Source organism: Homo sapiens, chromosome 7 (assembly GCF_000001405.40).
Source record: "Homo sapiens chromosome 7, GRCh38.p14 Primary Assembly".
Taxonomy (NCBI): Eukaryota; Metazoa; Chordata; class Mammalia; order Primates; family Hominidae; genus Homo; species Homo sapiens.
This window is the reverse complement of record NC_000007.14, coordinates 127,559,141-127,572,234: the sequence shown is the minus strand read 5'-3', so window position 1 is coordinate 127,572,234 and position 13,094 is coordinate 127,559,141. Positions and strand designations below refer to the sequence as shown.

Below are 13,094 nucleotides of genomic sequence, written 5' to 3'. Positions count from 1 at the left end.
CTGCTTATTCATCCTATTCTATCCCAGGCACTATTCTAGTCACTAGAAATGCATCCTGTCAATGTTTAGCCCAGGATATAGTCTCAAAGAGTAAGGATGACAATTCAATGTGGCAAATGCTATAATGGAGGAATAGAAAGAAGGGACAGGACATGAAATTCAGTCAGCAAGGAATCAAGAAACTCAAGTGACAGTGACACTTCACTTTGCAAGTTTTGTAAGACTAGGCCCAACTGGCATTAGCCACATGGACAGGCAGAGGTGGTGACAATGGGCAGGGGGGAATGTAGCAGATGGAGTAGATTAGCTCTTCCATTTGTTCCAGTGTCCTTGTGGTTCTGTTTTCCTGGATTGCAGAGACTAGCACATCAAAAACAATGTCAGTTGCTCTTGCAACTAGGATTCCCGAGGTAATTGAAGCTACATTGGAGATTAGAATCAAGAACTGATTCGAGTGGGAGAGAGTGGGTCACAAGTGAGGCTTCCATTTTTCTGGTGTGGCTCCAGTGTCTTCCTGTTCCCCAGATTGTGGCAAAGGGAGTGCAGCTCTCTTTGAGGAACCCAAGCAGCTGGGAGGAGAATGGTGCCCATTTCATAGAAGAAAGAAGATGCCTTTAGGATGTGGGTATGTTTCACCCAGGGCACATTTGGGTGGAGATGTCTAGAAGTGAGTTGAAAATAGAGTTTGGGAATTCAAGAGCACAGGTTGGAGTAGAGATAAAGATTGTCGTAGTGTGTGATGTAGGCATTAATGTGGGTGAGATTACTTGAGGAATGTGTAGCATCTGGAGACAAGAGGGCCAAGAGTGGCACCTGCCCCCTTCGAGAAAAACTTTTTGGAAGTAATTTCACATTGACTGCAAAGTTTCAAAATACTGCAAAGAACACTCACATATTCTTTACTCAGATTCATCTATTGTTAAAATTTTGTTCCATTTGCTTTATCATTTGCTCCCTCTGTGCACATGTGTATATTTTTCTGAACCATTTGATAGTAAATTATATATGTCATGGCTCTCTGCCCTTTAAATCTTCAGTGAGTATTTCCTGAGAACAAGGATATTCTCTTACATAACCACAGTGTAGTTATCAACTGCAGTAAATTTAATATTTACAATGGTATTGTAGCAGGACGAGCCGCTGACAAGAACCCCTCAGACACCAAGTTGTAGAAGGAAAGGGCTTTATTCAGCTGGGAGCATCGGCAGACTCACGTCTCCAAAAACTGAGCTCCCCGAGTGAGCAATTCCTGTCCCTTTTAAGGGCTTATGAGGGGGTCTGCGTAAAGGGCTGTGATGGATTGAGCAAGCAGGGGGTACGTGACTGGGGGCTGCATGCACCGGTAATCAGAACAGACCAGAACAGGACAGGGATTTTCACGATGCTTTTCCATACAATGTCTGAAATCTATAGATAACACAAGAAGTTAGGTCAGGGGTTGATTTTTTAACTACCAGGCCCAGGACACGGTGCTGGGCTATCTGCCTGTGGATTCCATTTCTGCCTTTTAGTTTTTACTTATTTCTTTGGAGGCAGAAATTGGGCATAAGACAATATGAGGGGTGGTATCCTCTCTTATTCATATGATCTAATCTACTATCTGCATTCTAATTTGTTAATTAACCCAATAATGTCCTTTGCAGGATTATTTCCCTCTCTAGTACAGAATCCTGTCTAGGATTACATATTGCTTTTAGTTGTCATGTCTCTTTAGTTGCATTTAATGTGGAATAGTTTCTCACTTTTTCACTGTCTTTTATGATATTGACATTTTAAAAATAATACAGCTTCCCACTCCCTTTTAATAGAAGGTTCTTGATTTTGAGTTTGTCAGATGTTTCCTCATGATTAGATTCAGGTTATGTATTCCCTGCCAGAGACGTTGTGATCTTCTTAAGGTATCACATCCAGAGGCAAAGTATATTCATCTGCTCCTCATTGGTGATATTAATTTTGATCAGTTGAACAAGATGTCTGATTTCTTCACTGTAGTTAATATATTCTGTTTTGCTACTAATAAGTAATCTGTGGGGAGACACTGAAGTCCATGCAAATATTCTGCTCCTCATCAAAGTTCCCCCCGCCAAATTTAGCATCTACTGATGATAATCCAATCTTTGCTATGATGGTTGCAAAATGATGATTTTTCATCTTTAGCATTGCACTGCATTGACCTTTTAGTCCTTGACATCCTCTAAGCAAGAACTCTGCGCTCTCTACCATCTATCCATCCATCCATCCATCTATCCATCCATCCATCCATCCATCCATCCATCCATTCATTTATCATAAGTATGGACTAATAGTTTCTCAATGGTTTGCAGTTCGTTATTTTACGTAATTATTTTGTGCTCAAAATTCCCTTTCGAATTGGATTTGGAGAACAAGAGTCCCTTCAAACTCTTGTGTTCTTGTGATATACCTCCGTTATTTTTTGGAGTACTGTCTTACTTTCTTGCATAAAAACATGTTTCTGGGGCCAGGTGTGGTGGCTCACTCCTGTAATCCCAGCACTTGGGGAGAGAGAGACAGATGGATCACCTGAGGTCAGGAGTTCGAGACCAGCCTGGCCAATATGGTGAAACCCCATCTCTACTAAAAAATATAAAAAATTAGCCAGGCGTGGTGGCGGGTACCTGTAATCCCAGCTACTCAGGATGCTGAGGCAGGATAATTTCTTGAACCCGGGAGGCAGAGGTTGCAGTGAGCCGAGATCATGCCATTGTACTCCAGCCTGGGCAAAACTCCATCAAAAAAAAAAAAAAAAAAATCTCAAACAAACAAAAACGTGTTTCTGGCTCATCTTACACCTTCTGTGTCCCAGCCCTGGAATCAGCTCCTTGACCACAGATTTCTGGTTCCTTTTAGTGGTGACTAGTATTAGAGACCAATATCTGGATGGTTATGTGAGCTCATGGCTACTGGGGTGTCTTGTTCCTACGTTCCTATAGCAGACAGAGGTAGGAAATGTCTGTGTGTATTGTATATAAGTATATAATACATATGTACACATGTAACTCTACATATACACATACACATACACATTTTAGAAATCATGAATTTTTACCAATATCTCTAATTCCAGTTCATGTTCACAGGGTTTTTCCTTACCACCCCTCATTCCATATTTGTATTTCTTTTCTTCTATTGCAAGAACTCTGGGATGGAGCTTTTTCAATCTTTTATTAGTGTTAAATGTCTCATTAAAATTTAAAAAGTAGGCAGTGAGAAGAGCACACAGAGACAGACAAGAAACAACAAGGCCCAACCAGAAAAGGAAGAGAAAATCAGAAGAAGGATATTAAAGAAGTCCAGGGAGAAATGCATTTCAGCCCTATCAAATTTTATTTCGACTAAAATAAGGGACAGAGGAAAAAGGACACATTTTGGGGGAAGATTTTGGCCATATTGAGATCAATTTTGGATGTATCGAGTTTGAGTACACTGAATTTAAGACCACTGTGGGGATCCAGGTGAAGTTGTCTAGAAATAATGCTCAAGGATAGATTTGAACTCAGAAGAGATCTCATGGCCATGAATGGAAATTTTGGAGCCTTCATTTATTCTTTTCTTTTTTCTTTTTTTGAAAGAAAAAAGGTGTTTTATTCACTTTGAATTTTGAATAACTTCTTTAAGTGTAATTTGTTTTTTGTTTGTTTGTTTTATTATTATTATACTTTAAGTTTTAGGGTACATGTGCACAATGTGCAGGTTAGTTACATATGTATACATGTGCCATGCTGGTGTGCTGCACCCATTGACTCGTCATTTAGCATTAGATATATCTCCTAATGCTATCCCTCCCCCCTCCCCCCACCCCACAACAGTCCCCAGAGTGTGATGTTTCCCTTCCTGTGTCCATGTGTTCTCATTGTTCAATTCTCACCTATGAGTGAGAATATGTGGTGTTTGGTTTTTTGTTCCTGTGATAGTTTACTGAGAATGATGATTTCCAATTTCATCCATGTCCCTACAAAGGACATGAACTCATCATTTTTTATGGCTGCATAGTATTCCATGGTGTACGTGTGCCACATTTTCTTAATCCAGTCTATCATTGTTGGACATTTGGGTTGGTTCCAAGTCTTTGCTATTGTGAATAGTGCCGCAATAAACATACGTGTGCATGTGTCTTTATAGCAGCATGATTTATAGTCCTTTGGGTATACACCCAGTAATGGGATGGCTGGGTCAAATGGTATTTCTAGTTCTAGATCCCTGAGGAATCGCCACACTGACTTCCACAATGGTTGAACTAGTTTACAGTCCCACCAACAGTATAAAAGTGTTCCTATTTCTCCACATCCTCTCCAGCACCTGTTGTTTCCTGACTTTTTAATGATTGCCATTCTAACTGGTGTGAGATGGTATCTCATTGTGGTTTTGATTTGCATTTCTCTGACGGCCAGTGATGGTGAGCATTTTTTCATGTGTTTTTTGGCTGCATAAATGTCTTCTTTTGAGAAGTGTCTGCTCATGTCCTTCACCCACTTTTTGATGGGGTTGTTTGTTTTTTTCTTGTAAATTTGTTTGAGTTCATTGTAGATTCTGGATATTAGCCCTTTGTCAGATGAGTAGGTTGCGAAAATTTTCTCCCATTTTGTAGGTTACCTGTTCACTCTGATGGTAGTTTCTTTTGCTGTGCAGAATCTCTTTAGTTTAATTAGATCCCATTTGTCAATTTTGGCTTTTGTTGCCATTGCTTTTGGTGTTTTAGACATGAAGTCCTTGCCCATGCCTATGTCCTGAATGGTAATGCCTAGGTTTTCTTCTAGGGTTTTTTTGAGATAGAGTCTTGCTCTGTCAACCAGGCTGGAGTGCAATGGCACAATCACGGCTCACCGAAGCCTCAATTTCCTGGGCTCAAGCAATCCTCCCATCTCAGCCTCCCAAGTAGCTGGGACGTCAGGCAAAATCATCACACCTGGCTAATTTTTAAGTTTTTTGTAAAGACATGGTCTCACTATGTTGCTCAGGCTGGTTTCAAACTCCTGCCTGGAACAGGAACAGGCCTCAAGTGATCCTTCTGTCTTGGCCTTCCAAAGTGCTAGGATTACAGGCATGAGCTACCATTCCCAGCCTTTGTTCCTTCATTGGTCAAATATTTATTAAACATTCACTCTGAAGCCGCTGTGCTGGACCTTCGTGACACGTCGAGTGGTAAATAAGGCAAAGACACTGGCTGTCATGGAGTTAATCTATCGCAAGGGATGGTCGTGGGACGGGCAGGGAAACAGACCATAAATGTATAGATAAATATGTGAGATGTAACTTCAGACAGTGATACTTGCTGTGAAGAAAATAAAAAAGAACGTTTAGTAAGGGATAAATTAGGGATAAATGGGAGGATTGGGTTTTTTCTTCACTTGGTTAAGGATAAATTGTTTTTTGAAAAAATTTTTTATTTTTTACTGCTTTGTGTCCTGCCGTGTGTGTGTGTGTGTGCGTGTGTGTGTGTGTGTGTGTGTGTGTGTGTGTTAGTACCATAGTTATTGAAAAAAATACTATCTACCCTGTGCCAAAACGGTGCTGGACACTGGGCATATAGCAGTGAAAAAAGGAGACAGAGTCTCTCTCAAGTTGACCGTACAGTGTTATGGGAGGCACATATATTAAACAAATTATACATAAGTGTATAATTATCATAGTGCTATTAAAGAGGACAAGTTGTTATGCAAACATTTAGTTAAGAAATTTCCTCCAGCCTGGGTGACAGAGCGAGACTCCATCTCAAAAAAAAAAAAGAAATTCCTTGTGGACATTTGTTGTTTGCCTCTCCAGGATTTATCCTCAGACTTCCTGTAATTCCAGTTGGGGTTTGGCAACCTCACCCCACACATAATCTATCTGTCAGCGTCAGGGAAGACCCAGTCCTGTTTGGTCAATCAGATCATTGCTTTTCCACAGCACCAATGGTTGGTTCTAAAACAGGACTATGCCCAGAGTCAAGTCACCCAAGCTAGTAAGAATAAGCTATGGCGCTTTTTTTGGAACACTTTTGGAGAAATAAATCCATTCTTCATGTTAGATTTGAATGTGAAGGAGAAAGCTGGAGACATGGAAGTCATCTTACCACTATGGAGGGTGAGCTTCTCTGAGGATGGAGCCAACATGGAGGAAATGGGGCCAAGAGATGGAGAGATGAGTAGTCCTGGTAACACTTCTTGAGGCCTGGATCAAGCCAGAAGCTAACTCTGGACTTTACAGTTACCTGAACCAGTTTGAGCTCTCACTTGTGAACAAGGCAATTTGGAACATAAATGAGTCAGGGAAGGTTTCCCTAGGGAAGGCATGTATAATCTGAGACCTGAGGGATGAGTAGGAATTAAGCTGTTCTGGAGAGTGAGCAGAGAATCAAAGCAGAGGAAACAGTACCACATGCCCAACGGGCATGAGCAGGTGAAGCAGCAGAAAGTAAGAAGAGCAAAGAGAGAGCCTGAGTGCAGGGAGGGGATGGATCCCTTAGAAGCCTTTTTATACAGAAAACTTCAAATGTATTTAAAATAAAGAGAACAGAATAATGAACAGCCTCATATCCATCATCCATCATTGACCATTATTATATCAGGGCCGCATGTTGTTTCATTTACACCTGCATCTCTTACCCCTCCCTGATTCTGGATGGATTATTTTTAAGTAAAATGGAAGGTATTTTTGAGAACATGACAACTGAATTAAAATGTAAATATTTGATGAGAAGGAAGCAGCCCTTTGAAGATTTTTCAGGAAGGAAAGATTTCCAGGCAGAAGAAAAAGTAGGTACAAAACCCTTGATATTAGAACAGACTTGATTTTTTTGTTGTTGTTGAGACAGATCTTGCCTTGTCACCCAGACTGGAGTGCAGTGGTGTGAACATGGCTCACTGCAGCCTGGACCTCCTGGGCTCAAGAAATCCTCTAACCTCAGCCTCCTGAGTAGCTTGGATTACAGGTATGTGCCACCACACCAGGCTAATTTTTGTATTTTTTGTAGAGATGGGGTTTCACCATGTTGCCCAGGCTGGTCTGGAGCTCCTGAGCTCAAGGTATCCATCCACCTCGGCCTCCCAAAGTGCCAGGATTACAAGCGTGAGCCACTGTGCCTGGCCAAATTTTTTGAGAGACACAAAATTGGACCAGACTGGCCATAGTGGAAGGAAAGAGGAGGAAGGGAATAAGAGATGAGTCATACAAGTAGACTGTGTCAGATCATGGAGGCCTTGGGGTCATGGTAAGGAGTTTGGATTTTATTCAAATTACTGTATGAAGCCATTTAAAACAGAGGAGGCTGTATTCTGGTTTATCCTTTGAGAAGTACTCTCTGGCTACTATTTGGAGGATTAAGTGGAAGGAGTCCAACAGTGGAAGAAGGGTGGCCAATCAAGACACTATTGTAGCAGTCATGGGAGGAGTTGATGATGGTTTGAAATGGGGTTTTAGCAATGGAAGTCATGAGACTTGGGATGTATTTTGGAGGGAGCCTGTATGATTGACTGAATGTTTGGATGTCAACTGTGAGGGAGAGAGAGAGAAAACAATAATGACTCCCAAGGTTTTGGCCTGAGTAAGTAGGTGATGGTGGTACTATTTACAGAGATGGAGAAAACCAAGGAAAAAAAGTAGGTTTGAGGATGGAGGTGAATGTAGGGGGCAGCAAACCAAGAGTTTTGAGTTGTCAGAAGTTAAGTTCGAGATGTTCTTAGATAGGCCAAGTTGGGGAGTTGGGTTAAAGGTTGGTTGTAGGAGTTTGACCTCAGGGGACAGGTCAAGACCAGAGACAGATTTGGGAGTTGTGCTGTGTGTCTTCAATTTGCCCTTCAGAACCACTCTCCACTCTTTTTTTACCCTGCACTGAACTCTAATAATCTGACCTGTATTGACTCAACAGCCTATCTTGTCCTGTGGCTTCCCATTGTGTTTGGCCAATAAAGAGCCCTGGAAGAAGATCTGGGGGAAGGGAGCAAGGAGAGTGAGGTCGGGCTATTTATTCCTCTAGCCCTCTGTTTATGTAGTATCACTTAGGGCTGACTGTGTCGTTCAACTGAAGATCACAGCTCCTGTCTCCAAGTTTCAGGAACTACTCCCTCCATTCCCCATCAAGCCTAGGGGTGATAATGTATCTCACTGTTATTAGCCCAGTAGGGCTGAACTGTCCTTTGTGGTTTCCCTAAATCCTGCCTTTTATTAAACTTGTCTCATGACCCAGGGAGGGTTCCATACACTTCTTGCTAGGATCCTGACTTATGCTGGAGCCATTGGCATATACCTGATAGTAAAGCTGTAGGCCTGAATGAAAGCCACTAAGGAGATCAGAGGACAGAGCTTGAGGCATATCAGCTTTTAGAGGTGGGCAGGGAAGGAGGAGCTGGCATAGGAGATATGGGGGGGAAGCCCATTAAGTAGGGATTAAACCAGGTGAGCATGGAGTCACCAAAGCCCAAACAAGAAAGCACATCAAGAAGCAGGGGTTGCCGTGTGAAAAGCTACCTGCCGAGGGGTCAGGGGTTGTGGAAACAGAGAACCCACCATCAGATTTGGCCACCAGTGAACTTTAATGTGAACGGTATAGACTTTGTGGAGCTCAGCTGCTTAAATTTGTGAATCCCACACCTTCAATAGGATTTATGGGTTCTTGTGTGGTTGGCCCTTAGTTTAGTCCTCCGGCCTCTCCTCCTCCAACTCCCTGCCAATCACACTGCTGCTCAGCCCCTCAAAGTCTCTGCTCTGGCTGAGACCTCCAGGGCTTTGCTCTTGCTGTATCTTCTACCTGGGACACTCTTTCCCCCATCTGTCACTTCTGGCTCACTCCTACCTCAGGTCTCTTAGAACCCTCCTGACCCTTGAGTCTGGAGGAAGTGACCTCCTAAGTATAGTTGATTCTCATTATCCACAGTAGTTACATTCTAGAAAGTTGCCATGAGCACTGCATTAGCGAATACTGAGCCATGGTTCCTAGAGGTAATATAGAGTTAGGTTCCTGTAAGCTTCTGGTCAACGCATTGTCATCAACTGATTAAAGCATAATCTGTTCTATGTGTGTTTCTGTTTAAAGGCATAATCTTGTTCTGTGTGTATTTCTTTTTTAATATGTTGTCGATTCATTAACATTGAACCCATAGCCAACAGCACTATGAGTCACACCTGAATGAAGCTTATGCAAACACCTGTTTTGCTCCACAGGGCACATCACAGTTTTCTCATGCTTAGGAACACTAGACAGTGCTTCAGCACTAAGTTGGGGGCCATTATAAACAGTGAAATCACCAAATAAAAGCATAAGGATACAAAAAAATGTGGCACTAAATGGACCTTGGAAAGGACACTTGTTTATAGAGTGAGAATGGAAATAAAAAGGCAAAATGTCACCTCGTTCAGTCTCATTGGGAACATGCACATGGGGTGACTCACATTTTTATTGCCACTTTATGCGTGTTTGTGAATGACCTTGACAGCATTGGGAGTATGGACTTGGGGGTTACAAATACATGTTAGCAAGTAGGAGAATTTGCAAATACAGTATCCGTGGATGAGGATAGGCTAGTCTCAGTGCATCTGTTAATTACCTCACTAAGACCCTTTCTACACTATAATAGCAAAAGATTCGTCACTTACTAGCTGTGTGACTTTGGGCTAGTTCACCTCTCTGTGCCTCAACAGTATCATCAATAGTATGACAGTAATAATAACACTTAGCTCTTAGAGTTGTTGCAAGAATTAAATTAGTAAGGCTGGGTGCAGTGGCTCATGCCTGTAATCCTAGCAGTTTGGGAGGCCAAGGTGGGAGGATGACTTGAGGCCAGGAGTTTGAGATTGGCCTGGGTAACAGAGTGAGACCCTGTTTCTACAAAAAATTTAAATATGATCTGGGCATGGTGGTGCACACCTGTAGTCCCAGCTGCTTGGGAGGCTGAGGTGGGAGGATCACTTGAGCCCAGGAGTTTGAGGCTATAGTGAGCTATGATTGTGCTACTTCACTCCGGCCAGGGCAACAGAGTGAGACCCTATCCCTCTTAAAAAAGAAAAGAGAAGAATTAAATGAGTGAATTCCTATGAATAACTTAATAAGTGTGTCACACATAGTAAGCACTTAGTGTTAGGTGTTACTATTACTGTCATATGTTTGTCTCTCTCATTGGATTATAAGCCCTGTGATGTGTTCCAAGACATTGCTCTTTTGCTAGTTGCTGGGAATGATAACACTAAAAGCTCATGCTATATGTCAGGCACTGCTCTAAGTGTTTTACATTTATTACTTCAGTTAGTATTTATGAGAGCCTTTAGTGGTGGTAGTTTCTATTTGTGATGGTGAATATTAGGTGTCAACTTGATTGGATCGAAGGATGCCTAGATAGCTGGTAAAGTATTGTTTCTGGGTGTGAGGATGTTGCCAGAGGAGGTTAACATTTGAGTCGGTGGACTGGGAGAGGAAGACCCACCCTCCGTGTGGGTGGGCGCCATCCAATCAGCTGCCAGTATGGCTAGAACAAAGCAGGTGCAAGAAGGTGGGTTAAGCTGGCTTGCTGAGCCTTCTGGCTTTCATTTTTCTCCCATGCTGGATGCCTCCATCTGTTTCTCCTGCCCCTGGACATCAGACTCGAGATTCTTCAGCCTTTGGACTGTAGGACTTATGCTAGTGGTTTACCGGGGGCTCTTGGGCCTTCGGCCACAGACTGAAGGCTGTACTGTCAGCTCCCCTTCCTATTGAGGCTTTTGGACTCAGACTGAGTCAGTATTGGCTTCTTTCTTCCTCAGCTTGCAGGTGGCCTATCATGGGACTTCACCTTGTGACTGTATGAGCCAGTTCTCCTTAATAAACTCCCTTTCATATATACATACATCCTATTAGTTCTGTCCCACTGGAGAATCCTGACTAATACACTATTCTTATCTTCAAGAAGAGGAAGCTGAAGCACAGAGAGGTAAGTTACTTGCCAAAGGCCACACAGATATGCAGCCGTAGAGTGGAGATTTGCACTCAGGCTTTCTAACTTCAGAATAAAGAGCAACTGGTTCTTGCCCACACAGAGCATCAACAGACTCCAATTCCTCAGCCTATGCTTGCATTCTTTTCATGAACACACTTCTTTACTTAAAAAAAAAAAGCTATTTAAGCCACTTTACAACAGTATTGTAAAAAGCTTTTAAACATTTCCCCATATTCCTGGCATCTAATTCAGTGACTGTTTTCACTTCGATGTTCCCTTCTGATGTCTGTCCATAGAATATTTTTCTTGATGCTAATTGTAGCATTATGCATTATAACTGGTGTTTTGCTTTTTACCTGAGATTATCTTGTAACACGTGTTCATTTTCCACTTGTCTGTGTCCCTTTCATTCTGGCCTGATTTAATGGCTTTACTGATTAAAGAGAGGGAAGAGGCCTTCTTCTTCCTGCTTCTTATGGCCTCACTAGCTACTCATTCCTTTGCCCCTTGCGTCTGCTCGCTCCCTCACCACCCTGCTGAAAAGCCAGTGATGAACATTTATATAGTGTTTGCTAATATTAAAACATGGAGTTGCTGATGTCGCTGTCAATTACTGACAACAGCAATTTCATATGATTTTCAATCCAATATATGTCAGGTACTGCATTTACATGTATTAACTAAATCATCAAAAACATCTAAAGTGTTGAGTGTTATTATCATCATCCCCATTTACATATGAAGAAACTGAGGCAAAGAGAAGTTAAATAACTTGCCCAGGATCACATAGCTAGCAAGTGATAGATTCAGGATTTGGGCCCAGGAAGTCTGGCTTTGGAGACTGGGTCCTTTAACCACTGCCTCTCTGGAATGGCATCACTGAGCTCAAAATAACCAAATCCAATGTTGTTAAGGAAGTGGGAGCCAGCCTCCCTGCCAAGTGAGTGCCAGTGCCCGGTGCTTCTCCCTTTTTAGAAAGTATTGTTTTATATATATGTGCATTCAATAGCTGTATGGCCCAGAGGCCAGGGAGTGGGCCTGTTCCTTACCACAACATCCCTAATTCACGTACAGTGCATAAAATAAATATGCTCCTCAATATTTATTGACAGAAGAAAGGAAAGAGGGAAAGTGGAAGGTGGAAGGGGGAAGGTAGGGGATTGAGGACTGAGAAGGCAGGTGAGATAAATTATATTATAGAATGTGTCTGTTTGACTTGTATGGGAATTAGGCTTTGAGGGGCCACAAACAGGGTGTATTTTCTATTTCAGGGGTCCAGAGTAGGATGGACTACAGGGATGAGTTTAAGCCAGACATGCTGCTTTTTTTTTTTTGAGACAGAGTCTTGCTCTGCAACCTCCACCTCCTGGGTTCAAGTGATTCTCTTGCTTCAGCCTCCCAAGTAGCTGGTATTACAGGTGACCGTCGCCATGCCTGGCTAATTTTTGTATTTTTAGTAGAGACGGGGTTTCGCCATGTTGGCCATGCTGGTCTCAAATTCCTGATCTCGGGTGACCCACCTGCCTCTGCCTCCCAAAGTGCTGGAATTACCCTTCCTGACTTCAAGCCAGAGATTCTTGATGTCAGTCAAATGGTGAAGCTCCTGCCTACAGGGCTGGGACCAGAGTTCAGAAGAAGGTGGAGGCTGGGTGGAAGGAGTGGGAGAGTGAGGAGTGAATCCCTGCAGGAGAGAGTCTTTGGGTCTGACAGTTCCCTTCTGCCCTGGGAAGCACGTGTGGTGCAAATCTGTCTGGAATATGTAAGCCCTGCCTTTCTACCTGATTCCAGGCCATTGTCTAGAAGCCAGATGGTTAATACTTCATGTTAATTTGATGTCTTGGAACTCTTTCCCTAAGTGCCAGAGATGGTGGCAGAATACCTACAAATATACAGGTATCCTCAGGAAGGTGGTTTTTTTGTTTCTTGTGCTCTGGGACCCAAGTTCTTTGAAAGAGTAAGATATAAAAGGCTAAGACAAGTCCTGAAAGAGATAAAAACAAGGTGCTGATTCTGTCATCACCTGTCTCAGGGACCTTCTTTGTGACTCATTGTTTTCTGCCTGTCAAAATGGGAAGCAATGTGTCTACGCAGCTTCTCAAAGTTATTGTCGTGATTGAATGAAACAATATGTTGAAAGTCCTTGGGAAAGTGTAGAATATCATAAAATGCAATTATTATTAATGCCTGATA

At 42.4% G+C, this 13,094-nt stretch overlaps 1 long non-coding RNA gene across 1 annotated transcript in view; it reads left to right on the top strand.

The window, feature by feature from the left end:
• The window catches only part of LOC105375490 (uncharacterized), a 104,836-nt gene that overhangs the window by 17,612 nt on the left and 74,130 nt on the right, over nucleotides 1-13,094 (top strand). The window lies entirely within an intron of this gene.